Here is a 27,805-nt window from a genome sequence, read left to right as displayed (position 1 = left end):
ACTTGACCCCCACCATCTCTTGCCTGAGTCAGTATATTCCTTAAAACATGCATGACCCTAGCCTTGCCTTTTGCTGAACATGAGATAACATCTTACAAGGTTAGTGATAATGCCTCTAATCTATAACCGGATGGACTCTTACACTCAACCTTGATGTGATTCTACTTTAATGTAACTTCTGAGCAGGCCTGATGTGATTTTGCACCTTCTGAACCCCCACTGCCTATGCTTGAGCTATGAGCTGAAACACTGCCTTAGAGCAGTCTGACAGAACTGCTCCTGGACTGCAGGCATCCGTCTATCGTCCTCAGTAAAACTTCTGAATAAAACTAATTTTCATTCTTTAAAAGAATGATTTCTTTTTTTAATTTTATGGACAGAGTTTCACTCTGTCGCCCAGGCTGGAGTGCAGTGGTGCAATCTCGGCTCACTGGAGCCTCCGTGTCCTGGGTTCAAGCGATTCTCCTACATCAGCCTCCCAAGTAGCTGGGATTATAGGTATGCGCCACCATGCCTGGCTAATTTTTGTATTTTTAATAGAGTCGGGGTTTCACCATGTTGGCCAGGCTGGTCTCAAACTCTTGACCTCAGGTGATCCGCCAGCCTTGGCCTCCCAAAGTGCTGGGATTACAGGTGTGAGCCACTGCGCCCAGCCAAAAGATTGATTTTTTTTTTCTTTAGTTGACAGAAGCACCAGGAGCAGTGCAGGTTCTTGAGCAGGGGCGCGGCCTGAGGAAAACATTACTTTATGAAATACTAATATGCAAGGTGAACTGGAGGCAAAAGCTAGAGGCCAGGACACCAACCATTCCCTCAAGTCCTGTGATATAGGAAGGTGACCTCTAAGAGGTCGCTAATGGAGGATGGTGTGCCTGGAAGGGCCTGGCAGGAAGTTCTGGGGGGCAGACGGTTTGAGCCATGCCAAGATGGAGAAGCATCTCAGACCCTTTAAGGAACTGTCCCTTCAACCAGGCGCGGTGCCTTATGCCTGTAATACCAGCACTTTGGGAGGCTGAAGAGGGCAGATCACCTGAGGTCAGGAGTTTGAGATCAGCCTGGCCAACATGGCGAAACCCCGTCTCTACTAAAAATATAAAAAATTAGCTAGACATGGTGGCGGGCACCTGTAGTCCCAGCTACCAGCTACTTGGAGGGCTGAGGCAGGAGAATAGCTTGAACTCAGGAGGCAGAGGTTACAGTGAGCCAAGATCGCGCCATTGCACTCCAGCCTGGACGACAAGAGCAAAACTCCATCTCAAAAAAAAAGAACTGCATCTCCAGGGCCTGGGCCACCCAGGCATTTCCTGGCCTATTCTGGAGAGGGACAGCTATATAAAGAATCAGCTCCTTGACAACAAAATGGATACCATTTAATAGATGCAGGGGCTAAAAAACACACTGCTTACATTTGTATAGAGTGTACATCATCATGTAAGAAAACACATTCTGCCTTTAGGAATTAAACAGCTGCATTTTGTAAGAGATACATATGTTTGAAACATGTTCATTGACAAAATACTCCAGTCTTTCTGGATTAGTCCTTACTTGGCAATTTGTAACAAGAACTAAAAAACTGGGCTAGAGGCAGTGGCTCACACTTATAACCCCAGCACTTTTAACCCTAGCACTTTGGGAGACCAAGGCAGAAGGATCACTTGAGCCCAGGAGTTCGATAACAGCCTGGGCAACATGGAGAGACCCCATCTCTACGAAAAAATTAATACTTGGCCAGGCATGGTGGCATGTGCCAGTGGTCCCAGCTACATGGGAGGCTGAGGCAGGAGTATCGCTTAAGCCCAGGAGCTCAAGGCTACAGGGAGCCATGATCGTGCCACTGGACTACAGCCTGGACAACAGAGCAAGACACTGTCTCCAAAAAAAAAAAAAGCTAAAAAACTGGCTGAACTCTGTGAGGGGGTAACTTCACTTTAGGAGATGGGCCCCTAGGAAATAAGGAAGTCAGTAATGGCCCAAAGCAGTGTCACTTGGGAACTACCCCAGAGCACAACGGAGGAGAAGGGGCTCAGTTCACTAGGAGGGTTAAGCAGCAGGCACCCACCTGAGCTGCTCAAGTGATCCACATACAAACAGGTTGAGCTGGGGACGGCCTCTACTGAGCGTGCCTATACCCTGGGTGCTGGGACCCTGTGGAGGCAATGGAGTATTATGGGTACAAGTACAGGTCTGGCTTCAGAGTCCCATCCTCCTCTGTAAAATGGAAATGAGGCTGGTCGCGGTGGCTCATGCCTGTAATCCCAGCACTTTGGGAGGCCAAGGGAAATCACTTGAGACCAGAAGTTTGAGACCAGCATGGGCAACATAGCCAGACCTTGTCTCTACAAAAAACCAATTTTTTTAATAAAGAGGGAATGAAATTTGCAGTCAGTGGTAAGCTACCATTACTATAAGCATGACACACACAGGCAATAGTCGCTCTACCCCCACTGCAACTGGGCACAAATATTTTTGGCAGGGTGTGGGGGACGGGTACAGAGAGGCATATGCGTGGCTTCAGGGGCTCCAGTTTCTGAGGCAGTGGTGGGAAATGGGATGCCAGTGTGCCCAACGCCATGTGGAAGACAGTCACCTCCAGCCTGGGAGGAAGACGTGGGGAGAAGTTGATTTGGCCCAGATCTGCCACTCAGATGCCTGCTTTGCAGCAACTCACGCTCCCTGGCTCCATATCACAGCCTGTCATGACCACGGTCCTCTTTGTGCCTCTGGAGATGCCCTAGCCACCTTTCCGGGCAGTCTTAGTCTTGGCATAAATAAATGCTGCTATGGTCTGAATATCTGTGTCTCCCCCAAAATTCATCACCTCAAGGTGAAGGTATTAGAAGGTGAAGTCTTTGGAAGATGATGAGGTCGTGATGGTGGGCCTTTTGAATGGATTTAGTGCCCTTATAAAAGAGACCCCAGAGAGATCCCTCACCCCTCCTGCCTCTGAGGCTACAGGGAAAAGACAGCCGCCTAGGACAAGGGCCCACACCAGACACCAAATCTGTCAGCGCCTTGATCTTGGTCTTCCCAGGCTCTAGAACAATACACTTCTGTTGTTTACAAGCCTCCCAGTCTATACAACTTTCTTTTTTTTTTTTTTTGAGACGGGGTCTCGCTGTGTCGCCCATGCTGGAGTGCAGTGGCACAATCTCAGCTCACTACAACCTCTGCCTCCCAAGTTCCAGCAATTCTCCTGTCTCAGCCTCCTGAGTAGCTGAGACTACAGGTGCACACCACCACGCCCAGCTAATTTTTTATTTTTAGTAGAAATGGGGTTTCACCATGTTGGCCCAGCTGGTCTCGAACTCTTGACCTCAAGTAATCCATCTGTCTCGGCCTCCCAAAGTGCTGGGATTACAGGCATGAGCCACCACGCCCAGCCGGATTTTCTTATGGCAGCCCAAACAGACTAAGACAAATCCCATTTCTCCTGAGGTCAGCCAAACAAGGTTAGACTACTCCCCAGAAGAATGTTCCTACAAAATGAGAGAGGAGCCCTGGCGCAGTGGCTCATGTCTGTAATCCCAGCACTGTGGGAGGTTGAAGTGGGAGGATCACATGAGTCCAGGAGTTCAAGACCAGCCTGGGAAACAAAGTGAGAACCCATCACTATTAAAAATAAAAATTAGCAGGGCACAGTGGTGCACACCTGTGGTCCAGCTACACGAGAGGCTGAGGCAGGAGGATTAATTGAACCTAGGAGGTCAAGGCTGCAGTGAGTCATGTACTCCAGCCAGGGTGACAGAGTGAGATCCTGTCTCAGAAGAAGAAAAAGAAGGAGAAGGAATTAGAGGAGAAAGAAGAAGGAGAAGAAAACTAGAGAGGAAACAGAACTAAGAAATTGAAATGCAGGCCAGGCACGGTGGCTCACACCTGTAATCCCAGCACTTTGGGAGGCCGAGGTGGGCGGATCACCTGAGGTCAGGAGTTCCAGACCAGCCTGGCCAACATGGCAAAACCCCATCTCTACTAAAAATACCAGAAAAAAAATTAGTTGGGTGTGGTGGCGGGCGCCTGTTACCCCAGCTACTTGGGAGCCTGAGGCAGGAGAATTGCTTGAACCCTGGAGGCAGAGGTTGCAGTGAGCCGAGATCGCACCACTGCACTCCAGCCTGGGCGACAGAGGGAGACTCTGTCTCAGAAAAAAAAAAAAAAAGAGAGAGAGAGAGAGAGAGATAAATTGAAATGCAGCCACCTGGAAATATGAGGGTTTCCCAAGGCCTAGAATATTTGATATGAATCTGCCCAGAGTAGACTGGCAGCCTCCCAAAGCCTCCTCCTCACCTCCTCCTCATCTGTACCCACTGGCTTGGCAAGAAGCCCTCCCTTCCAAAACCTGTTTCCTCTGGCCTTGAGCAGTAGCAGCCCTGCCCCTAGATCTTGGCAGGACCAGTGTGTTCTGCTTGAGCTCTTGAAGAGGAAGAGAGTCCTCCCCAGAAAGTCCTCTTTGGGCCCTTGACCCTCCCTCAGAGATAATAAGACCTGCCAGGCAGAATTCTTGTGAGGATTAGATATTGAGCTTGAATTAGATTAGAGCTTGAATATACACATACAATCTTTGGAAGGACCCATAAGAACCAGGCATCAGTAACTGTCTTTGGATAGATGAATGGAGGCCTAGGGAATGAGAAGTAGAGGAAGCCACTTTTCACTATAAACCAATCTCTCTCTATTGAATGTTTTTACTGTATGCACATATTACCTATTTGAAATTGAAAGCACAATGCCATTTATATTAGCACCCTAAAAATAAAATTCTTCACTATAAATCTAACAAAATATGTACAAGATCTGTATGAGGAGTACTATACAACCCTGATGAAAGAAAGCAAAGATCTAAATAAATGGAGAGATATTCCATGTTCATGGATAGGATGATTCAATATTGTTAAGATGGTTGTTCTCCCCAACTTTGTAGATTCAATGCAACACAATAAAAATCCCAGAAAGTTATTTTGTAATATCTACAAGTTGATTCTAAAGTTTACACAGAGTAGCAAAAGACCTAGAAGGACAACACAAAAAAGAAGAATGGAATTAGAGAACTGACACTCCCTGACTTCAAGACTTACTTAAAGCTATAGCAATCAAGATAGTGTGGTATTGGTGAAAGAACAGACAAATAGATCAGTGGAACAATAGGGAACCAAGAATAGACTCACACAAATATAGTCAACTGATCTTTGACAAAGGAGCAAAGGCAATTCAATGGAAAAAGGATAGTCTTTCCAACAAATGGTGCTGGAATGATTGATCATCCACCTGCAAGAAAAAAATCTAGATATTGCCAGGTACACTAGCTCACACCTCTGATCCTAGTGCTCCAAGAAGCTAAAGCAGGAGGATTGCTTGAGGGCAGGAGTCTGAGATCAGGCTGGGCAACACAGCAAGACCCCATCACCACAAAAAAAGAAAAAATACAAAAAAAATAGCCCAGCATGGTGGCATGCACCTGTAGTCCCAGCTACTCGGGAGGCTGAGGTGGGAGGATCACTTGAGCCCAGAGTTCAAGACTGCTATGAGCCACAATCATGCCACTGCACTCCAGCCTTGACAACAGAGTGAGATCCTGTCTCAAAAAATAACAACAACAACAACAAACTAGGTACTAAGAAATCTTGATTCTAAGGTCTGACCTTAGACCTTAGACCTTTCACAAAAATTTATTCAAAATGAAACTTGAACCTAAACATAAAATGCAAAACTATAAAACTTCTAGAAGATAACATAGGAAGAAAATCTAGCTGATCTTGGGTTTGGTGATGTTTTTCTATATATCAAAAGCACGATCCTTGAAATAAAAAATTGACATTAGACTTTATTAAAATTAAAAGCTTCTGCTCTGCAAAAGACACTATTGCTAGGAAAAATGATAAAATATTTGCAAAAGACATATTGATAAAGACCTTGTATCTAAAATATACAAAGAACTCTTAAAACTCAACAATAAGAAAACAAACAACCCAGTTAAAAAATGGACAATAGGGCCAGGCGCAGTAGCTCATGCCTGTAATCCCAGCACTTTAGGGGGCTGACACAGGAGGATCGCCTGAGGCCAGCAGTTCGAGACCAGCCTGGCCAATATGGTGAAACCCCGTCTCTATTTATTAAAAAAAGAAAAAGAATAAAACTGTGTTTTTAAGAAAAATTTAAAAAATAGGGCCGGCACGGTGGCTCACGCCTGTAATCCCAGTACTTTGGGAGGCCGAGGCGGGCAGATCATTAAGTCAGGAGTTCAAGACCAGCCTGACCAACATGCTGAAACCCCGTCTCTACTAAAAATACAAAAATTAGCTGGGCATGGTGGCATGTGCCTGTAATCCCAGCTACTCAGGAGGCTGAGGCAGGAGAATCGCTTGCACCCAGGAGGCAGAGGCTGCAGTGAGCCCAGATCGCGCCACTGTACTCCAGCCTGGACGACAGAGTGAGACTCCATCTCAAAAAAAGAAAAAGAAAAAATAAACCAATAAATAAATAAATAAAACTGCTTTGTAAAAGTCTACTGATTTTTTTTAAGGAAGTTTAAAAGCTATTTTTAAAATAATTATTCAGCAACTGGTATAGGCTTTGCAGGCAGACAGCCCAGGATTCAAGTCTCAGAACCCTGAGCCTGCCAAGCTTCCTCCTCTGGGGATTACAGCCACACCTTCCAGGGTTGGGTTAAGGGTCCCAGAACCCACAGCAGCATGAGAGTCAAAAGTTATGTTGCTACCTGATTCTCATGGGCAGAGAGAGGAGGGGCCTTCTATTACACCTCAGGAGGCGGTCAGGGTGGGGTGCACTGGGGAGAAGAACGAGGGCGAGTAGAACAGGAGGCACCCGCTCCAGTGACATCATCCAACAAAGGTTTCCTGCCTGTGACAAGACACTGGAAAGTGCCTGGCCCCAGCCCAGCCTCAGCCGGGCCAGCAGGTCTGCTGGCCTTTATGCATTGTATGGCTTTAGTGGGGCCTGGGAAGCCAGGAGGAGGGCTATGGAGTGACCCAGTATGGTAGAGACAAGAATGAACCTGGAGCAGGTGGTGGGGGGAGTAGAAGGACCACCACCTCCCCGCCGCCCCCATGCCCCTTCCCACTGTGGAACCCTGGAGGAGACCCTAAGCAGCTTCTTCATCACTACCTAGTACTACCAGGGCCCCCACCCAGGACAGTGGTGAGAAGAGAAAGATCAAATGCACTTTGCTCCTCCAAGCAGCAAGGAGCACAAACACCACTGCCGTTGGCCCCAGCCTGGCCCCAGCCCAGCCCCAGCACCGAGCCTCAGGGCAACAGCAGGGGGAAGGGAGAAGCCAGGCTCCTAGGCATGACTTAACCTCTCTGATCCTCAGTTTCCTCATCTGCAGTATGGGAATATCAGCTGCACGTCACCAGCTGGGCCCTGTAAGAATCCGGGGAGATGGTGCCTGTATAGGGCTGAGCACCCTGCCTGGCACAGAGGTAAATGACAGCTCCCTGTGCCTCCATACAAGGTGACTGCCAGGCAAGCTAACAGGGGCAGGGTGGGAGGACGGTGAGGGCCATTCTTTTTTTTTTTTTTTTTTTAAGAGACAGGATCTCACTCCACTACTCAGGCTGGAGTACAATGGTGTGATCATGGCTAACTGAAGCCTCGACCTCCTGGGTTCATGCGATCCTCCCACCTCAGCCTCCTGAGTAGCTGGGACTACAGGTACGTGCCACCACGCCCGGCTAACTGGGTCATTCTGGATAAACTGCTGTCCCTGCCAGAGTCACCCTCTGTCCTAGCTATAAGCGTGGTGGTCATCCTGCCTCAGCTCTGGGGACAAAGGAGGGCACTGGATCACTGCCATCAGGAATGGTATTTATGGCCTATCAGGGGCCAGGTTGGAGTTGGACAGATTGAATCATGTGGACAAGGTCTTGGCACCCAGAGAGCTGAGTTGGAAAACACAGTTGCACAAAAGGCAAAATCAGCTCAACAGCTATGGGACAGACTTAGAGGCCTGCAAGAGAGTTATTAGGAGTGTCTCGTTGAATGGCAGGAGAAGGAAGGCACTGAGTGACACGGAGCCTGGCTCTCCCAGTCTCGCTTGGCATGGTCCCCACAGTGCTGTCCTGAGACCCCGGAGACCCGAGCAGGCTGGGGCCGGGGCCGGGTCTGACTGCACAGAGCAGCCAGCGCTGACAGTGTGAAGGCAGCCAGAGGGAGGGGCAGCGCACTGACGACGGGGAGGGCACAGCAGCTACATCTGTACTGTGGGGGTGGCAGGGCACCCCTGACCCCAGGAACTGACTGCCAGGGGCGGGGGCAGGGAGAGGCCAGCTTGCGGGGGGACGGGTTTGGGAGACTTCCACCCAGGATGGAGGGCTCAAGCCGGACTGCCTGGGTTCGAATCCCAGCAACGCCAGCTGCTGGCTAACCTTGGGCAGGTGACTTAACCTCTGAGCCTTGGTTCCCAGGTGTTGACAGCCCCTACCGCACAGGGCTATGGTGAGGATTTGAGATCAAGCCTGTTCAGCTTAACACAGCACCTGGCCCAGTGAAAACAGCACCAGCTACTTCCGCACTATTGGGCTAGACCTGGGACAAGCCTTCCCACCCGGCTGCCCCCTCCCTCTGACCCGAGCACCACCTTTACAAGGGTTTGTTATATACAATTTTTGTCTGGACTGGGTCCCATCAGAGAGGTGCACAGCGTCGGAGGTACACAGCCTTGGCTCCACCCCCACCTCGCACAGGCACCTCCTTACCTGCCTCCGCTAATGGGGAGCTCCCCAATCCACAAAGCAGCCTCTGTTCCTCATGCAGACATCTCTGATCATGAGTTCTCTAGCGTGAGCCCAAATCTCTTCCCTACAACTGCCCCTTAGTGGGAGTGATTTTTCTGCCAGGGACTTTCCAATGTCTGGAATCTGCCCATCCCACACATGCTAGGAATCCCCCAAGCAGGGCCCCATCACGGCTCCAGGAAGGATTCCCTGAACCCCAGCCCTCTCCCGCCGTGAGCAGCTTCTGCTGAATGGAGTAATGACTTCCACAGGGACACAGACGCCCCTCCCCTGGGTGGGTCTGTCCATCTCTCCAGCAACACCTCCCCGAAGGCAGAAAGCCTTGTATTCCCACAGACCTGAGGCTAATAACACAGTTCACATGCGTTGCCTCATCCTGTCCTCACGAACCCTGTAAAGGATCTACTATTTTTTCGTTTGTTTTTAAAAATCATGGTAAGGCCGGGTGCAGTGGCTCACGCCTGTAATCCCAACACTCTGGGAGGCCGAGGCAGGCGGATCATTTGAGGTCAGGAGTTCAAGACCAGCCTGGCCAACATGGTGAAACCCCATCTCTACTAAAAATACAAAAAATAGCTGGGCGTGGTGGCGGGCACCTGTAATCCCAGCTACTTGGGAGGCTGAGGCAAGAGAATCACTTGAACCCAGGAGGCTGAAGTTGCGGTGAACTGAGGTCATACCACTGGACTCCACCCTGGGTAACAAGAGCAAAACTCTGTCTCAAAAAAAAAAAAAAAAATCATGGTAAAAAAACACATAAGGTGAAATGTACCACATCTATAAAAAAGAATGAGATCATGTCTTTTATGGGAACATGGATGGAGCTGGAGGCCATTATCCTCAGCAAAGTAGCACAGAGCAGAAAACCAAATACTGCACTTTCTCACTTATAAGTGGGAGCTAAATGATGAGAACTCAGGGACACATAGAGGGGACAACAGACACTGGGGTCTATCTGAAGGTGGAGGGTGGGAGGAGGGAGAGGAACAGAAAAGATAACTATTGGGTACTGGGCTTAATTCCTGGGTGATGAAATACAACAAACCCCCATGAGTTTGCCTGTGTAACAAACCTGCACATGTACCCCCGAATCTAAAACAAAAGTTAAAAAAAAATTAACCATTTTAACCATTTTTTTCTTTTCTTATTATTATTTTTTGTGTGTGTGACAGAGTCTCACTATGTTCCCCAGACTGGAGTGCAATGGCGTGACCTTGGCTCACTGCAACCTCCACCTCCCGGGTTCAAGCGATTCTCCTGCCTCAGCCTCCTGAGTAGCTGGGATTACTGGTGCCCGCCACCACGCTCAGCTAGCATTTTTGCCACCGCTCTCAGCTAGCATTTTTTTCCCAGTGGCATTAAATACATTTATATTATTGTGTTACCATCACCACCATCCATTTCCAGAACTTTTCATCTTATAAAACCAAAACTTTATATCCATTCCTCCTTCCCCACCCCCAGCCCCTGGCAACCACCATAGAAACATTGTACTTTCTGTTTCTATGAACCTGGCTACTCTGGCTCCGTTACATAAGTAGAATCATACAGTATTTATCTTTTGTGCCTGGCTAATTTCACTTGATTTCCTCAAAGTTCATTCACGTTGTAGCATGTGTCAGAATTCCCTTCCTTTGTAAGGCTGAATCATACCACATTGTGTATATTTACGGCACATTTTGTTTTTCCATTCATCTGTTGATGAACACTTGAATTGCTTTTACCTTTTAGCTACGATTGATGCTGCTATGAACATGGGTGGGCAAATATCTCTTTGAGACTCTGCTTTTAGTTCTTTTTGGTATATATCCAGAAGTGGGATTGCTGGATTGTATGGTGATTCTATTTTTAATGTTTTTTTTTTTTGAAATGAAGTTTCACTCTTGTTGCCCAGGCTTGGAGTGAAATGGCGTGATCTCAGCTCAATGCAACCTCCACCTCCCAGGTTCAAGTGATTCTCCTGCCTCAGCCTCCCGAGTAACTGGGATTACAGACATGTGCCACCACGCCTGGCTAATTTTTGTATTTTTAGTAGATATGGGGTTTTGCCATGTTGGCCAGGCTGGTCTTGGGTCTTGAACTCCTGACCTTCAGGTGATCCACCCACCTCAGCCTCCCAAAGTGCTGGGATTACACGCATGAGCCACCGCACCCGGCCTCTACTTGTTAATTTTTTCAGGAACCACTAAACTAGTTTCCACAGCAGCTGCACCAGTTAAACTAGTTTCCACAGCAGCTGCACCAGTTAACATCCCCACCAACTGTGCTCAAGGTGCCAGTTCCTCCACATCCCACCAACACATATTGTTTTCTGTTTGTTTCTGAGACAGGGTCTCACTCTGTCACCCAGGCTAGAGTGCAGTGGCGCGACCTCTGCTCACTGAGACCTCCGCCTCCTGGGTTCAAGTGATTCTCATTCCTCAGCCTCCTGAGTAACTGGGACTACAGGCGTGTGCCACCACAGCCCGCTAATTTTTGTATTTTTAGTGGAGCCAGGATCTCACCCTGTTTGCCAGGCTGGTCTCAAACTCTTGGCCTCAAGTGATCTGCTCGCCTCGGCCTCCCAAAGTGCTGAGATTACAGGCATGAGCCGCTGCGCCCGGCTATTTTCTTTCTTTCTTTTTTTTTTTGATAGCAGCCATCCTGAAGGGTGTGGGGTAGTGTATTGTAGGCAGATTGTGTATTTTTCCCCATTTTAAGCTTAGGAAAGTAGGACTGGAGAGGCATGGTGACTCTGCCAAGGTCCTATAGGCGGCAGGTGGCAGAGCTGGGATTCAAACTCAGCACTGTCAGCGGGGCGCGGTGGCTCACACCTGTAATCCCAGCCCTTTGGGACGCCGAGGCGGGCGGATCATGAGGTCAGAAGATCAAGATCATCCTGGCTAAAACGGTGAAACCCCGTCTCTACTAAAAAAATATAAAAAATTAGCTGGGCGTGGTGGCGGGCGTCTGTAGTCCCAGCTACTCGGGAGGCTGAGGCAGGAGAATGGCGTGAACCCGGGAGGCGGAGCTTGCAGTGAGCTCAGATTGTGCCACTGCACTCCAGCCTGGGCAACAGAGTGAGACTCTGTCTCAAAAAAAAAAGCAAAACTCAGCGCTGTCTGCGGCTGTGTGGTGCTCTCAGCAGCCCCCATCCCCACAAATCCTCGCTGTGTCACTAGGGTGGCTCAGTGGCCACCCTAGGGCCTCCAGCATTGATCTCCACCCAGGGCCTGGCTAGGGAGGAGGCAGTGACTCCAAAGGAGACCACCCCTGAGAGTTGCAAGACTAACCCCAGCCCCTGGATCCCCCTGACCTACTTGACCCTGACACTAGCTAGCATTCTGGGAGGGGCCTCCATCTCACGCAGGCAGGAGCAGGGCCCCAGGGCTAGCTCGGCAGCCCCCAAATGAGCCCGCAACATCTTGGATTATCTTGCAGGAAAGCAGGGGGCCCTCCAGCAAGGTGACCAAACCAGGTGGCCGCCACAGGTGAATCAGGGCACAGCCCATCTGGGGTCACATCTCATCACTGCCACCTCCCGCCTGCGTGACCGTGGGCAAGCTGGGAGACTTCCCTGTACCTCGATTTCTTCATCTGTAAAATGGGGGAGACTCAGTTGCACCTTGCAAGGAGCTGTGAGCGTTCAGTGAGCAGCAGATGTGCAATGCCAGGCTGGAGGACAGGTCCAGGACGGTGCCTGCCATTTCTCTCTACCCCACATCTACCCCACGCCACTCTGCCCCTCACCACGGGAGGGGTTGGCAGAGCCTTAGGACTAAGGCTCCTCTGAGTGGTAACACATTTGTTTTTGTTTGGTTTGGTTTGAGGCTGGGTCTTGCTCTGTCACCCAGGCTGGAGTGCAGTGGCGCGAACACAGCTCACTGCAGCCTCAACCTCCAGGGCTCAAGCAATCCTCCCACCTCAGCCTCCCAAGTAGCTGGAACTACAGGCACACACACCACCAGTTATCTTTTGTATAGACGAAGTCTTTCCATGTTGCCCAGGCTGATCTCCAACTCCTGGACTCAAGTGATCCGTCTTGGCTTCCCAAAGTGCTGGATTACAGATGTGAGCCACCAGGCCAGGCCTTGAAGGGATTTTTGTACACCCATGTTTGTAGAAGCGTTATTCGCAATAGCTAAGAGATGGAAGCAACCCAAGTATCTGTTGACAGGTAAATAGATAAACAAAATATGGTGTATATACATACAATAGGGTTTCATTCAGTCTTAAAAACAAGGAGGCCAGGGCTGGGGGCGGTGGCTCATGCCTGTAATCCCAGCACTTTGGGAGGCCAAAGCAGGCAGATCACGAAGTCAGGAGATCGAGACCATCCTGGCTAACATGGTAAAACACTGTCTCTACTAAAAATACAAAAATTAGCCGGGCATGGTGGTGGGCGCCTGTAGTCCCAGCTACTTGGGAGGCTGAGGCAGGAGAATGGCGTGAACCTGGGAGGCGGAGCTTGCAGTGAGCCGAGATTGCGCCACTGCACTCCAGCCTGGGTGACAGAGTGAGACTCGGTCTCAAAAAAAAAAAAAACAAGGAGGCTGGATGCAGTGGCTCACGCCTGTAATCCCAGCACTTTGGGAGGCTGAAGTGGGAGGACTGCTTAAGCCCAGGAGTTCAAGACGAGCCTGTGCAACATAGGGAGACCCTGTCTCTAAAAAAAAAAAAATTTTTTTTTTTTTAAGACAGAGTCTCCCTCTGTCACCTAGGCTGGAGTACAGTGAGTGGCACAATCTCAGCTCACTGCAACATCTGCCTCCCGGATTCAAGCAATTTTCCTGCCTCAGCCTCCTGAGTAGCTGGGACTACAGGTGCGCACCACCAGGCCTGGCTAATTTTGTATTTTTAGTAGAGACAAGGTTTCATCATGTTGGCCAGGATGGTCTCAATCTCCTCGTAATCCATCTGCCTCGGCCTCCCAAAGTGCTGGGATTACAGGCGTGAGCCACCGCGCCCAGCCTCAAAAAAATTATTTTTTAATTGGCCAGGTATGGTAGCACTTGCCTGTGGTCTCAGCAACCTGAGAGGCTGAGGCGGGAGGATCGCTTGAGCCTGCAGTGAACCATGTTTGTGCCACTGCACTCAAGCCTGGATGACAGAGCAAGACTCCTTGAGGACATTATGCTAAGTGAAATGAGCCAGTCATAAAAAGACAAATATTGTATGATTATGATTCCACTTACATGAGGCACTTACAGCAGTGAAACTCATAGAGACAGACATCTGAAAGGTGGTGCCCAGAGGTTGGGGGTAGGGAAATGGGGAGTTTGGGGAGTCATTTAATAGAGAGTTTCTGTTTGGCAAGATGAAAAAAGTTCTGGAGATCTGTGGTACAACGTGGATTTTCTTAACCTTAAAAATAATTAAGATGGCCGGGCACAGTGGCTCACACCTGTAATCCCAGCACTTTGAGACACCAAAGCGGGCAGATTGCCTGAGGTCAGGAGTTCAAGACCAGCCTGGCCAACATGGTGAAACCCTGTCTCTACTAAAAATACAAAAATTAGCCGGGCGTGGTGGCAGGAGCCTGTAATCCCAGCCACTCCAGAGGCTGAGGCAGGAGAATCGCTTGAACCAAAGAGGCAGAGGTTGCAGTGAGCCAGGATCATGCCACTGGACTCTAGCTTCGCTGACAGACCAAGGCTCCATCTCAAAAAAAAAAAGAGAGAGAGAGAGAAAGCAGGAAGACAAGGAAACAGCAAAGTGCTGGCTCTTGGGAAAGAGGCAAGGGAATAATTGAGAAGATGCCTGGGTGACAAAGCCAAAGGGCAGCTGGGACTTGGTGGTGGAGTCCTGGCCAGAGTGTGGACTTTCTCATGCTGGGAAAGGCATGAGCACCCCAGAAAGCTCTGCAGCAGAGCGCTGACTTTTCCCAGTGGCTGCTGGGAAGTCCACATTGGAAGTCTTTGGCCTTTCCAATTCATCATTTTGACCTGAACCTTTCTAGCTATAGGCAAGTCTCGACCCATCCACATCCCCCAGTATGGAAAGGATGCCAAGGGGAAAGCCTGGCTGTTTTCCAGGCGTGCTGGGATGCACAGACGGAGCTGTCCAGGCAGCCCCTGGGAAGCTCAGGAAGCAGGTTCCCAGGCCAGTTGCAGCCCAGTTCCCAGGGGACACTGCCCCTTACTTATGAGACGTGGCCCTCACACGCAAGCATGCATGACAGCTGGAGCCCAGAACCACCCTAGGATCGTCCCACACCTGGAGGCCATAGTTCTCAGACTTCCATGGAGTCTCTCTCAAGGTCAAAGTGCCACACTGCCCATCTGGGACGAGATGTCTCTCCCTCCTACGGCTGGGTCAGGGAAGGCCACAGGACAGTATTGCCTTGGGGGCAGGGGAAGGGGAGCTGTGGCTTCCAGAAACATTGTACAGAACCCTGGAAGGAAAGAGCTGTAAGAAGCCTAATTGCCCTGGGCCAGGCACGGTGGTTCACGCTCGTAATCCCAGCACTTTGGGAGGTCGAGGTGGGTGGATCGCTTGAGATCAGGAGTTTGAGATCAGCCTGGCCAACATGGTGAAACCCCATCTCTACTAAAGATACAAAAATTAGCCAGGCGTGGTGGCGCACACCTGTAATTCCAGCTACTGGGGAGGCTGAGGCATGAAAATCATTGACCCCAAGAGGCAGAGGTTGCAGTGAGCCGAGATCACACCACTGCACTCCAGCCTGGGTGACAGAGTCCTCCTCTGAGGCAGGAGGAAAGATCTACATGCTCTGGTGGTGGGGCTGGGACCAGAACCCAGCACCCAGGGCCCCAACTCCCAGGCCAGGCTTCCCTGACCCAGGCCTGTCCTGAGAACCCCTCTCTTTGCAGTTATTTATTTTGAGCACAATTAGAGCCCCTGAGATGCAGGGGAAGGCTGGAGGCATACCAGGCCACCAACAACATCAGCTGCTAACACTCGCTTCGTCCCTCGAAGCCGCAAGAACAGGCATCTCAAAACCTGCTTAAATCTCATCATTGCCAGGTGCGGTGGCTCATGCCTGTAATCCCAGCACTTTGGAAGGCTGAGGCAGGTGAATCTGTTGAGGTCAGCAGCCTGGGCAACATGGAGAAGCCCCATCTCTACTAAAAATACAAAAGTTAGCCAGGCATGGTGGCGCGTGCCTGTAATCCCAGCTACTCAGGAGGCTGAGGCAGGAGAATCACTTGAACCCAGGAGGCAGAGTTTGCAGTGAGCTGAAATCGGGACACTGCACTTCAGCCTGGGTGACAGAGCAAGACTCCGTCTCAAAAAAGACAAACAACAACAACAAAAAACTCCTTGTCATTGAAATCAAATCCAAATTCTCACTTGATCTTCGAAGTTCTTCAAAATCGTATCCCTACCACCTCCCCTCATCTCATCTCCCACTCCGCCGCTCCCTACATCCAGCCCTGCAGGTCTCCCAAACATCTCTCCCTTCTCCAAACTCAACTCGGCTTCCAGGCCTGCTATGCCAGCTTCCTTCCAATCTCTGCCTAATCAATTGTTCCTCATCCTTAAGCATGGAGCCATTTCCCAAGCACCCAGGCTGACTGGGCCATTGTCTCTCCTGCTTCTGCAGCAGGGGGCAGTGTGCCTGTGTCAACAGCAGAGAGGCATCTTGTGCATGTCTCTCCCTGCTTCCCAGCACCAGGGCTGGCCAACCCAATCAGTGTTTGTTGTCTGAGAAAATGAACACATGGATTTTCTGCCTGTCCTTTATGGCTAATTCCAGTACCTTCCTGAAGGCTCTGGAGTGCAGCCTTGACTTCCACGGTAAGGGCTCCTTGGGGCCAACTGCTTTATCTGTGTGATCTCACGTAATTCTAGGCCACAGGTATTAACACATCCATTCTGCAAATGAGGAAACTGGGGGTCGGAGAGGTCCAGTCACTGCCCACATGTGGAAAGTGGTGTGGCCAGGACCGGAATCCAGCCCGACCAGCTCCAGAGCCTACGCTCCTTCTGCTGAGCCATGTGCGTAACCTACCCCGGTGACAGCGGGCTGGGGCTGGGCAGGTGAACCCACAGATGTTCCAGAAACTCTCCAGTCTGTCCAAGGATCCCTTAAACCTGCATGTCGAGGAGGGTGGCTGACAGATAAGAATGGTGGCATCCAGATGTGACAACAGAGGGGGATGAAAGCTTGGGGGTCCCCCAGAGGGAGGCCTGAGCCTGATGCTCCACCTGCCATCCTTGGGACAGACAGAGGCCTAGTCAAAATATCCTCAAACAGGCAATGAAGCCTTTCACTCTAGTTACGATGAAGCTGGGTAAGAATAGGCTCTGGGCCAAGAAGATGTACTTGACCTTATCAATTTTGCCTGGCTAGTTAAAGCCCCAGGCTTGGGGAAGAGGGGGCCTCCAGGGGTGCTTGTTAAGCACCAGACCTTATGCTAGATGCTTCACAAACAGGATCTCTGACTTCCAACATCCCTAAAAAGTTTTTGTTTGTTTTTGTTTTTGTTTTTTGTTTTTGTAGAGACAGGGTTTCACCATGTTTCCCAGGCTGGTCTCGAAATCCCAGGCTCAAGCAATCCACCCATCTCAGCCTCCCAAAGTGCTAGGCTTACAGACATGAGCCACCATGTCCGGCCCCTAACAAGTTTTATAACCTCTATTTTACACATGAACTAACTGAGGCACAATGAAGTTACGTGGTGGAAGTTCATGGTCAGGCAGCTACTGCATACAAACCCAGACTAGTCAGCCTTCTAAAGCCAAGCTCCTAACCACTGCGTTAGACTGTCTCTGTCCCCTTCCTGAGAAATCCCAGAGATCTCAAATCCCCTGCCCAGCCCATTCTGCCACCATGGCCCTGGAAATTAGTAAATTAGTCCCGTAATTCTCATGAGTGAGCTGACCCCACACATACCGTGAGCTGAGCTTCAAAAATGTTCTTGCCCTTGGCCCAGAGTATTCATTCTGGATGCAGAATACACTCCAAGGAAAAGGGGGGAAAAAACAATAACTTCAAATACCAAAAAAAAAAAAAAAGTTATTTCCACAGAGTTGTCCAGAAAAGTCGAATTATTCATTGCAAAACACCTAGAAGCAACTCAACTTCATCAGCGGACAGAGGCTGCCCGTCCAGGGATGGGTCTGTTAACTTGGTGAATACCACGTGGACCTTAAAACAACATCTAGTTAGTTGGTTTATGTGCATTTAAAAGTAAGTGCAAAGTTGGCCGGGCGTGGTGGCTCACGCCTGTAATCCCAGCACTTTGGGAGGCCGAGGTGGGTGGATCACTTGAGGTCAGGAGCTCGAGACCAGCCTGGCCAACATGGTGAAAGCCCGTCTCTACTAAAAATACAAAAATTAGCCAGGTGTGGTAGCGGGTGCCTGTAATCCCAGCTACTCAGGAGGCTGAGGCAGGAGAATCGCTTGAACCCAGGAGGCAGAGGATGCAGTGACCTGAGATGACGCCACTGCACTCCAGCCTGGTCGACACAGCAAGACTCCATCTCAAAAAAAAAAAAATGCAAAGTTTAAAAGCAGAACACTTCATTTTAATTTCAGAAATCCCACCTGCATGAGAAAGACTTACCTATGCTGTTGACTTTTTTGCCTCTTTCCTTTAAAGAACTTAAAATCAATTAATTTTTTTTTTTTTTTTGAGACATAGTCTCACTCTGTTACCCAGGCTGGAGTGCAGTGGTGTGATCTCGGCTCACTGCAACCTCCACCTCCTGGTTTCAAGTGTGTCTCCTGCCTCAGCCTCCCAAGTAGCTGGGATTACAGGCATGTACCACCACACCCGGCTAACTTTTGTATTTTTAGTAGAGACAGGGTTTCATCTTGTTGGCCAGGCTGGTCTCAAACTCCTGACCTCAAGTGATCCGCTCGCCTCCCAGAGTGCTGGGATTACAGATTACAGGCGTGAGCCACTGCGCCTGGCCAAGTCAATTAATTTTTGATAAAGTAATACATGCAAGTGATAATCCACACACACAGTACATTAAGGTCCAAAGACCTACGGCAATATATAGTGGAGCAGCGCCCCACGGCCCATGCCAACCATTTGAGAATGTAGGTTTGTCAATTGACTAAACTCTGAAGGGCACACACAGAGAAGTGACTTGCTTTATGGTTATGTGGATCGGCTTTTTCCTGCAAGGCTGATGAAGGCAAAGGTTAAAAATTGAAACCCAGAGCAGACAGTTCTGCTGAGATATACTTCTCTGAGGCATACTTCAGAGCATCTTGGCTGGGACTGTCTTTGTCAAGTCTAGCTCAGGTCCCTCTTCCTGGGATCAGTGAAGCAGCAGCAGAATCGGGGTGGGGAAGCCAGGCCGTCAGAGGCAGAGGAAAGCCAGGCATAGGAGAGAAAGCCTGCTGCCTTCTTACCTGTTCACGTGCCAAGACTCGGTCTCCTAGGATTTGCTGGTGGCCTTAAGGGGCTCCAGGACCCCAAGCAGGTGCCTAAGGGCCACGGGCAGTGGGTGCCAGGTTGGAGAGGCTGAGGCTGCCCCCAACCCACAGTCCAGGCTTCCCGTCTGATGAGAAGGGCGGGGAAAGCAGGCCACTGCAGCTCTGCTCAGGAACCGAAGCCAGCAGGGGCGGGGCAGGGCCACGTGGCCCCCGCCTGCCTTGGACTGTGAAGTAGGAGGGAGTCTTCAACCCAGAGGACCCGCCAGGGGACTGCTCTGACTGAGGGCGCCAGCCAGTTGACTACAAGAAGTCCCCCAAACCCAGGCCCTGGCTCCCAGGCAGCTTGGACTGTTCTAAGGGACTACCCCAGCTCCTCTCCAGAACACTCGGCCTAGACAAAAGCTTCGTCTCATAAAACTAAAAGCCAGGTGATGGGGAGTTGGGTGTAGTGTGTAGTGACATGAGCCTCAGGGGGCTGAGGCAGGAGACTCTCTTGAGGCCAAGAGTTCGAGGCTGCAGTGAGCTGCAACTGCACCTGTGAATAACCACTGTGCTCCAGCCTGGGCAATATAGCGAGATCCTGTCTCTAAAAAAACGAAACAAAACACAAAACTGAGTGATGTGGTGGTGACTGGAGTGTGTGTGTGTGTTTGTGTGTGTGTGTGGGACTGGGGGTCCATTAGGTGGAAGAAAAGGCCTTTCTCTGATACATCATCCCTGTTGAGCACCAATGAGTTACCCAGTCTACAGATGAAGAGACATGAGCTCCAAAAGGTGAATAATCTTTTTTTTAATTTTAATTATTTTTTGAGACGGAGTTTCACAGCAGGGACTACAGGCACGCTCCACCATGCCCAGCTAATTTTGCATTTTTAGTAGAGATGGGGTTTCACCATGTTGGCCAGGCTGGTCTTGAACTCCTGACCTCAGGTGATCCGCCCATGTCAGCCTCCCAAGTGCTGGGATTACAGGCATGACCCGGCATGCCTTGCCTTTTTTCTAGACAATGTCTCACTCTATTGCCCAGGCTAGAGAGCAGTGGCACAATCACAACCCACTGTGGTCTTGACCTCCTGGGCTCAATCGATCCTCCCACCTCAGCCTCCCAAGTAGCTGGGACCACTACACCCAGCTAATTATTTATTTATTTATTTATTTATTTTTTTGTAGATACAGACGTCTCCCTATGTTGCCCAGGCCGGTCTCAAACTGCTGGCCTCAAGGAATCCTCCTGCCTTAGCCTCCCAAAGTGCTGGGATTTCAGGCTTGAGCCACTGTGCCTGGCCTTGGGTAAGATTCCTCACCCCTTTTCTGGGGCTTGAGCCCAGGAGTTAGAGACCAGCCTGCGCAACATAGAAAGACCCCCATCTCTGCAAATAAATAAATAATTAAAAATTAGCCAGGCATCATGGTAGCTCATGCCTGTAGTTATAACTACTCGGGAGGCTGAGGCAGGAGGATCACTTGAGCCCTGGAGGTCGAGGCTGCACTAAGCTATGACCAAGCCACTGCACTCCAGCCTGGATGACAGAGCAAGACCCTGTCTCTTTTCTTAGAAAAAAAAAAAAAAAAAGAGAGATTGAGAGAGAGAGAGAGAGAATCTTACCTAAGATTCCCCAGCTGGTTACTGAGGTCTGACCCCAAAGCCAGGTTTTCCTGAGGGACACAGGACCTGTCCTGGTGTAACACGTGGCCTCAGACCCAGCACTTACGGGAGTTGAGGTCCTTTCCCTCAGCACCATCACCAAAGGTACAGCCATTCTCCCTTCACCTGGGTCAGAGTGGGCAACTGCAGGGGCATCTTCAATATCTCTGTCAAGTTTTCATAGCAGGCTTCCTGATTTTACTAGACTGCATTTGGATTCATTAGGGATGGGCCAGTGGGGGAGGATAGGAGAACGGCTGTGTTCAAAGCCTCAAACTATCCAAGAGGGGAGTCTGTAGTGTTTCACTGAATGTGAGCACAGAATCCTGGATTTAGGAACCCCTTATTAACACCCAGTCTTCCACAGCCAACCTAGTCTGGAGTGCTGACCTTGCTGGATGCGGTGGCTCACGCCTGTAATCCCAGCACTTTGGGAGGCCAAGGCAGGCGGATCACCTGAGATCAGGAGTTCGAGACCAGCCTGGCCAACATGGTGAAACCCCATCTCTACTAAAAATACAAAAATTAGCCGGGCGTGGTGGCAGGCGCCTGTAATCCCAGCTACTCGGGAGGCTGAGGCAGGAGAATTGCTTGAACCCAGCAGGCAGAGGTTGCAGTGAACCAAGATCACTGCACTCCACCCTGAGCGACAGAGTGAGACTCGGTCTCAAAAATAAAAAAACAAAAAAAAGAAGAAAAAGAAATGCCAACCTAGTGACAATAGTGCGCTTTATTCCGAGTGCCAATGCATGCCACAAGTAGTTGTTCATGAAATGTTTTCTCAATTGGATCGACAAAACTGGATTCCTGGTTTTGCCCTGAACTTGCAACAGGACAATAATGCCCACGCTGGAATGTTCCAGGCTAACTCCTCACCCGTCCCCAAGGCAGTGGCCACACAGGTCACACACACTCTCTGCAAGGCCCTGCTGGAAAACTCTGCCAAGGCGTTGATTCATCCGTTGGGCAGCTAGTGGGAGGGCAGAGTGGGTGGAGGTGATGGGGGCACAGCCACAGGATCTCACTGGGGCCTCACAGAAGCCTGAACACCGCACGGTGCCCTCTCTGGGGCCTCTTGGCTTGGAATGATGCCCCTTTCTTTCAAAGCATCACATATAGGACAGCAGGTCCCCCAGATCTCCCAGGGCCAGAGCCCCAGGTCAGCGGACAAGCCTCAGAACCCCTGAGCACTCAGTCATGTGCGTTTGTGCTACCATGACCCCAGGAGACCGGTTTTTGTTTTTTGGTGTTTTTGAGACAGGTTTCGTCCTGTCATCCAGGCTGGAGTGTAGTGGCGCAATCACAGCTCACTGCAGCCTCAAACTCATAGGCTGAAGTGATCCTCCTGTCTCAGCCCCCTAATTACTGGGACTACAAGTGTGCACCACCATGCCTGGCTAATTTTTGTATTTTTGGAGAGATGGGGTTTTGTCATGTTGCCCAGGCTGGTCTCAAACTCCTGGGCTCAAGGGATCCTCCTGCCTCAGCCTCTCAAAGTGCTGGGATTACAGGTGTGAGCCACCATGCCAGGCCCAGTAAATCAGTCTTATTCTACCAATTTACAGGCAGGAAACCAAGACTATGCTTAGAGGCTAGTGAGCCCAGGTCATCTGACTGTATACAGTGCTCTCTTCATGGACTTTGCTGCCTCTTGGCATTTGGCAGGTGGAATCTCGTTTCTGATTGCTTTATGAGGGCAGCATTGCCTTTCTCCAGTTACATCATCGACTCCCTAAAGCTGAGATTCCCCAGTGTGTCCTCATAACAGCTGGAGGCCCTAATAACCCACAGGAAATGGTAGTACTTCCCTTGACCATCACGTGTTACTAGCTTATACACATATACTCACGGCTCCAAATTAGTAACTTCTAAGCCTAAACGCTACCAAATGACCCAACTGAAAGCACCTCTCCTTTCATTATGAGACTGCAGTCAGAGAAGGGAGCAAGTTCTGCTGAGTGGACCTGGGAATTTAAAACTTGACTAGGCTCTGGAAGGCAGAGTGAGAGGTGGGAAACTGAAGGGGGCTTGCCTCTGGGCACCGCCAGAGATGCTGCATACGGGGGTGGGGTGGGGTAGGGTGGGGCTAACAGGGCCCCTCAGCTATTCCAGATGGGCTGGCCCAGCTCCTTTTCCAAATCTGAAACTTCCAAACCTGGTTTTCTTTGATATTTTTTTTCTTCATTTTGAACAAGCAGCAATGTTCATTGTCCATCACAGCTACTGATCATAACACTGGACTGTGAAGCAGACACATGCCCAGACATCACCAGCAGACTCTTTTTTTAAAAAAAAAAAAACAGGGCTTCACGCCCGGCTTTTTGAATTTTTTGTAGAGATGGGGTCTGTTTCCTAGGCTGGTCTTAAACTTCTGGGCTCAAGCAATCTGCCTGCCTCTGGCCGCCCAAAGTGCTGGGATTACCAGGCATGAACCACCGTGTGAATAATTGGGAGCAGACCCCAGGAATCTGTTCTGACAAATGAAGAGGGTTCTAATATCCCACTAGGATTATGAGCCACAACTACAGGTTTCCTACCATTTCCTGACCTAAAACCCCTGCTGCCCACTCCCCACCTCTTCATTTTTCAGACTTGGGACCTTCTGATTTTTCCTGAAGTCCCAAGGTTGTGGCTGAGGAAATCAGATGCAGGCTGCAGGCTCTTCTGAAACTGGTGGCAGGCCCTCTGGCAGACTCACCTCACCACCAACCTCACAGCGACAGAGACTGCCTGGTTATAAACTCTCCTCCAACCTCTGGGTGCAGAACAGAGCTGGGAGGTGGTGGTTCATGGTAGGTGCCCAGTAAACGTTTGTGGAAGAAATGAGCGTAGCAGCCTCTTCTAGTGGGTCAGCATGTCTCCTGATGGCTTAAACAGCTCCTGGCCAAGTGCAGTGGCTCACGCCTGTAATCCCAGCGCTTTGGGAGACCAAGGTGGGTGGATCACCTGAGGTCACGAGTTCGAAACCAGCCTGGCCAACATGGTGAAACCCCATCTCTACTAAAAATACAAAAATTAGCCAGGCATGGTGGTGCATGCCTGTAGTCCCAGCTACTTGGGAGGCTGAGGCAGGAGAATTGCTTGAACCCAGGAGGCGGAGGCTGTGGTGAGCCGAGATTGTGCCTCTGTACTCTAGCCTGGGCAACAGAGTAAGACTTCATCTCAAAAAAAAAAAAAAAAAAAAGAAAAAAAAGAAAAAGAAAAAGAAAAAAAAGAGAAACAACTCTTGGTTGTGCTGGTTCAGACTGGTGTGTAGCCTACACCTGCCCATTTCAGTTCACCTGAACTTCACAGGGTGTGTTGGGCTACCAGATCACTCAAATGTCAATCAACCATGGCCAAGCAGGTGTTTTAAGAGTCCCTATCTTGTCCTCGAGAGCCATCTATTCCTTTCCTCCGTTGTGACGTTTTTTGGACCAGGTTTGATTTCAGCAGCAGAGATGTTTCTTCTGAGCTCTACATATAGCCCTTGAAAATTAATTTTAAGGGTGTAATAAAATATTCACATACAATATTCCATATGCAAATGAGCAAGTGGATGACTCAAACACATGTCATTTTTACTTTGAATAGAAAACAGAATTTAGAGGCTGGGCATGGTGGCTCACGCCTGTAATCACAGCACTTTGGTAGGCTGAGCTAGGTGGACCACTTTAGGCCAGGAGTTCGAGACCACCCTGTCCAACATGGTAAAACCTTCTCTACTAAAAATACAAAAATTAGCTGGACGTGATGGCACATGCCTGTAGTTCCAGCTATTTGGGAAGCTAAGGAGGATCGCTTGAGCTCAGGAGATAGAGGTTGCAGTGGGCTGAGATCGCACCACAGCCCTCTAGCCTGGTCAAGAGAGAGAGATTCCATCTCTAATAAACAAACAAACAAAAAAACAAGAATTTATGACCAGGCGCAATGGCTCACACCTATAATCCCAGTGCTTTGGGAGGCCAAGGCAGGAAGATTTTTTGAGGTCAGGAGTTCGAGGCCAGCCTGGGCAACACAGGGAGACCCTGTCTCTACAAAAGTTTAAAAATTAGCTGAGTATGGTGGCACACATCTGTAGTCTCCCCTACTCTGGAGGCTGAGGTGGATTGCTCGAGCCCAGGAGTTCAAGCCTCAGTGAGCTATGATCACTCCACTGCACTCCCAGCTAGGCAAGAGAGAGAGACTGTCTCTAATAAAATTTTTTTTAAAAAATTAAAAAATAAAACAGAACTTAGGAATTAAAAAAAATTTGAAAGCCAGACTGATCCCATCTGAATGCCTTTCTGGCTTTCCTCTAACAAGCTCAAGAAAGGCAGCAGCGTGGGAACAGCACACATTCTGGGGACCAGCACTCTCCCTGTGAGACGAGCCTTTTCCAGCGCCGGCAGCTGTCTCACTAGCAATACATTTACACTAACCAAGAAAAGCAACATTCCAACTAGAACCCCCCTCCTCCAAAGGAATGCTATTCTTGGCAAGAGATCTTCCAAAGGAAACATCTGCAGAACCTCTGCCAGTAAGGTCAGGGGAAAGCTGAGGCAGCTAAAAACTTTTCAGTCCTAGGATCCAAGTCACAAGGGCTTAGCAATGGAACAGGATGGAAGCAAACCCAAGGGCAGATCCCTCTGTCTGAGTTCTGCAGCAGCCTCTGATGGGTTTTGCCAAAGCTGGAGAGAGGTCTCTATTTACCTGGTTGCTCAATCAAACCACAGGAGTCAATCAGGTCCCCTTAACAATTACACAGATGGGACTTGTCATTGAGTCACATCCAATCTAATTTTAAACTTTTGTAGGTCCTGCAGCAACAACTATGAAAATTCCTTTCCACATATTCAAGCCCAAATCCTTGTCCTAGCCCTTCCTCTTAACAGAGAACAAGCAAGCTGATGGGCAGACTTCCAGAGGAAGCTCGGTGGTGACAACTCCTGATTCCATAGATTAGGTTTTCCTTTCTTACATAACCCCCTACCTTCTGTACGGAGTGTATGTATTTTAGTCAAACTTGAGTTAGAAAAGAGGCGAGGAGCTGCTCAAGTATCTACGCTGAGTTCCTCAGATGACTGCATGTCAGTATCACACAATTTGATAGAATGGATTTAGGGCCACAGGAAAAAATGAGCCCTGAAATTAGGTTTTCAAAATCTAATTCAGAACTACTGTCTACTATGCAAATTCATGAGCTAAGTGAGAAAAAAACATGTTATTTAGGGATTCGATTCCTGGCAAAACCTGGGTCTCTCTTGACTGATCTAAAACCAAGTCATGATTCAAGAGATACTTAGTTCCAGGAGACAGTGTCACAGTGTCAGGAACCCTCTGTTCTGGGCTCTGAGAGGTTCAGATTGTATTCCACCATTCCTGATTCTAACCCAGTGCTCACCAGATCATTTGCTCAATTTAGATGGCTGAGCACATGCAGACGAAAGAAAGTTTTACATTTGTGAAGTATTGAGAACAGTGAGCTCACTTCTCCAGGTTCAAGGCGCAAGGACAGCCTGGAAGACGAGGGCTTCCCACACAACTAAACAGGAGGAATTCTCAGGGGTGGGCTGGAACATTTCTGGAACTGGGCCTCTTCCACCTAACAGGCTCTCATTATACCCTAAAGGCCCTCTGGAACCCACCTGAGATGGGTGCTGCAGACAGGCCCCACATATACACAGTTCTCAGGGGCAGGGCAGTATCTAGGTTCTTCTGTACTGACCCTTCCTATGGTCCTATGGAGCCAAAGATCGCTTTAGGTGCTGTATCAGTAAAAGGGGCATCTGTTAAGACTCCCCAGCTAGAATTCATGCTAAAATCCCCATACTAACATCCTCAGAGTAGAAGAGGAGGAAGAATCAGCCACCCTTCCTCAATACCCAGTGGGAAGAGGGGTGGGTATACACATGGTTATTGAGGTCATGTTTCATCAGCACAGCAAAAAGAACCAGGAAAAAACAAAGAAACCACCACAGACCTGGGGGTGGGGAGCCACAGAGTGCCGCAAGTCCAAGTCGGTATCTGGAAGGAAGGAGTCTACTCAGTTCTTCCTGCTCTAACTTGGGTTCAAACCTCCCACCTACATCCTCATCTCCAGAACAAGACACATGGATGCCAGTCACCTTAAAAACTAGGTTTCTATTTCTGGTTAGATTCTAGAGCAGTGGAACTCAGGAGTGATACTATACCCTACCCAGTCCCACCACAGCCTGCCTCCTTCCTCCCACAGAGATAACATTGTACAAAACTGTATTTACAAGAAAACCAATTAAAAATTAAGGGTGTGTGCAAAAGTAGACAGGAGAGTCAAGACATATCAATGCAGGGATGGCTTTGGGGAATGGGGGACTCAGGTTCTACACTGGAACCTGGGGTCATGTATCATGTACCAGGTGGGGAGAAGTGTAGCAAATCTCAGTGCCAATTTGAGGGGAAGCCAGTCATTCCAGGAGAAGAGCTGAGGGGAAAGAGCTGTTGACTTTCATAATGCAGTCTTAATTATCCAGTCACCCTCCTGCCACATGGCAGAAGCCAGGTGGCAGTGATGGTGGTGGGGGAAACAAAACACACAGTCTCTGGCAAGCCCCACCGGGAAAGGAGGGCTCAGAAGGCGTAGCGGGTCCGGATATCCTCGAGTTTCTTGGACACTTCGGGTGGGGTTCGGTCCAGTTCTTCAGAGACGTTCTTTTGTTTGTTGGGTTCCATGGAATTGAACTGCTCACAGAGGTCTCCATCAATCACATTCTAAGATATGGAGAAAGCAGAAAGAAAAAAAATGGTGAGATGCCCAAAGAAAATGGCACATGCTAAAGCAGCACTTGTAGGGAAAGCTGTTTTTATTTTTTAGTTTTTGAGACAGGGTCTCACCCTATCATCCGGGTTGCAGTGCAGTGGGATAATCTTAGCTCACTGCACTCTCAAAATCTGGGGCTCAGCCTCCCGATTGGCTGGGACCACAAATGTGTGCCACCACGCCCAGACCGGGAAAACTTTTTATTCTCCACTCGATACTTGAACCCCACTTGTAGATCCAGGAACACTATCTTAAGTTGACTCTTGGTACTCAGAGTTCAGATTGGCAGAAGCAGGTGAAGCCTTTGCTCTGGCTGT

General features: G+C 49.4%; 2 protein-coding genes across 9 annotated transcripts in view, besides 3 other annotated features; both read right to left on the bottom strand.

Annotated features, from left to right (window-relative positions):
* The window catches only part of IL34 (interleukin 34), an 80,784-nt gene extending 61,571 nt beyond the window's left edge, over positions 1 to 19,213 (bottom strand). For 4 of the 8 annotated variants that reach the window (XM_047433648.1, XM_047433651.1, NM_001393493.1 and 1 more), the window contains exon 1: positions 8,712 to 8,783. The gene's annotated coding sequence lies outside the window, so the exon portion shown is untranslated. Of the gene's footprint in view, positions 1 to 2,059; positions 2,146 to 8,711; positions 8,784 to 19,062 lie in introns of those variants that run through there. The other 4 variants (NM_152456.3, NM_001172771.2, XM_047433649.1 and 1 more) reach the window with 3 other exon arrangements.
* Positions 18,699 to 19,204: an enhancer, noted in NCBI's record as "H3K4me1 hESC enhancer chr16:70613811-70614316 (GRCh37/hg19 assembly coordinates)". NCBI's record gives its function as "activates a minimal SCP1, AML or CMV promoter by ChIP-STARR-seq in primed H9 embryonic stem cells {active_cell/tissue: H9 hESC(primed)}" and the evidence as "EXISTENCE:reporter gene assay evidence [ECO:0000049][PMID:30033119]".
* Positions 19,205 to 19,710: an enhancer, noted in NCBI's record as "H3K4me1 hESC enhancer chr16:70613305-70613810 (GRCh37/hg19 assembly coordinates)". NCBI's record gives its function as "activates a minimal SCP1, AML or CMV promoter by ChIP-STARR-seq in primed H9 embryonic stem cells {active_cell/tissue: H9 hESC(primed)}" and the evidence as "EXISTENCE:reporter gene assay evidence [ECO:0000049][PMID:30033119]".
* Positions 21,444 to 27,805, bottom strand: part of SF3B3 (splicing factor 3b subunit 3) — a 53,853-nt gene continuing 47,491 nt past the window's right edge. The window contains exon 26 of the mRNA NM_012426.5: positions 21,444 to 27,439. Coding sequence (NP_036558.3) covers positions 27,299 to 27,439 — 141 coding nt within the window. The 3' untranslated portion in view covers positions 21,444 to 27,298. The remainder of the gene's footprint in view (positions 27,440 to 27,805) is intronic.
* Positions 23,371 to 23,440: an enhancer, noted in NCBI's record as "active region_11067". NCBI's record gives its function as "activates an Ori minimal core promoter by ATAC-STARR-seq in GM12878 lymphoblastoid cells {active_cell/tissue: GM12878}" and the evidence as "EXISTENCE:reporter gene assay evidence [ECO:0000049][PMID:35858748]".

The sequence above is a fragment of the Homo sapiens genome, chromosome 16, assembly GCF_000001405.40.
Source record: "Homo sapiens chromosome 16, GRCh38.p14 Primary Assembly".
Lineage (NCBI taxonomy): Eukaryota > Metazoa > Chordata > Mammalia > Primates > Hominidae > Homo > Homo sapiens.
This window is presented reverse-complemented; position numbering and strand designations above follow the sequence as displayed.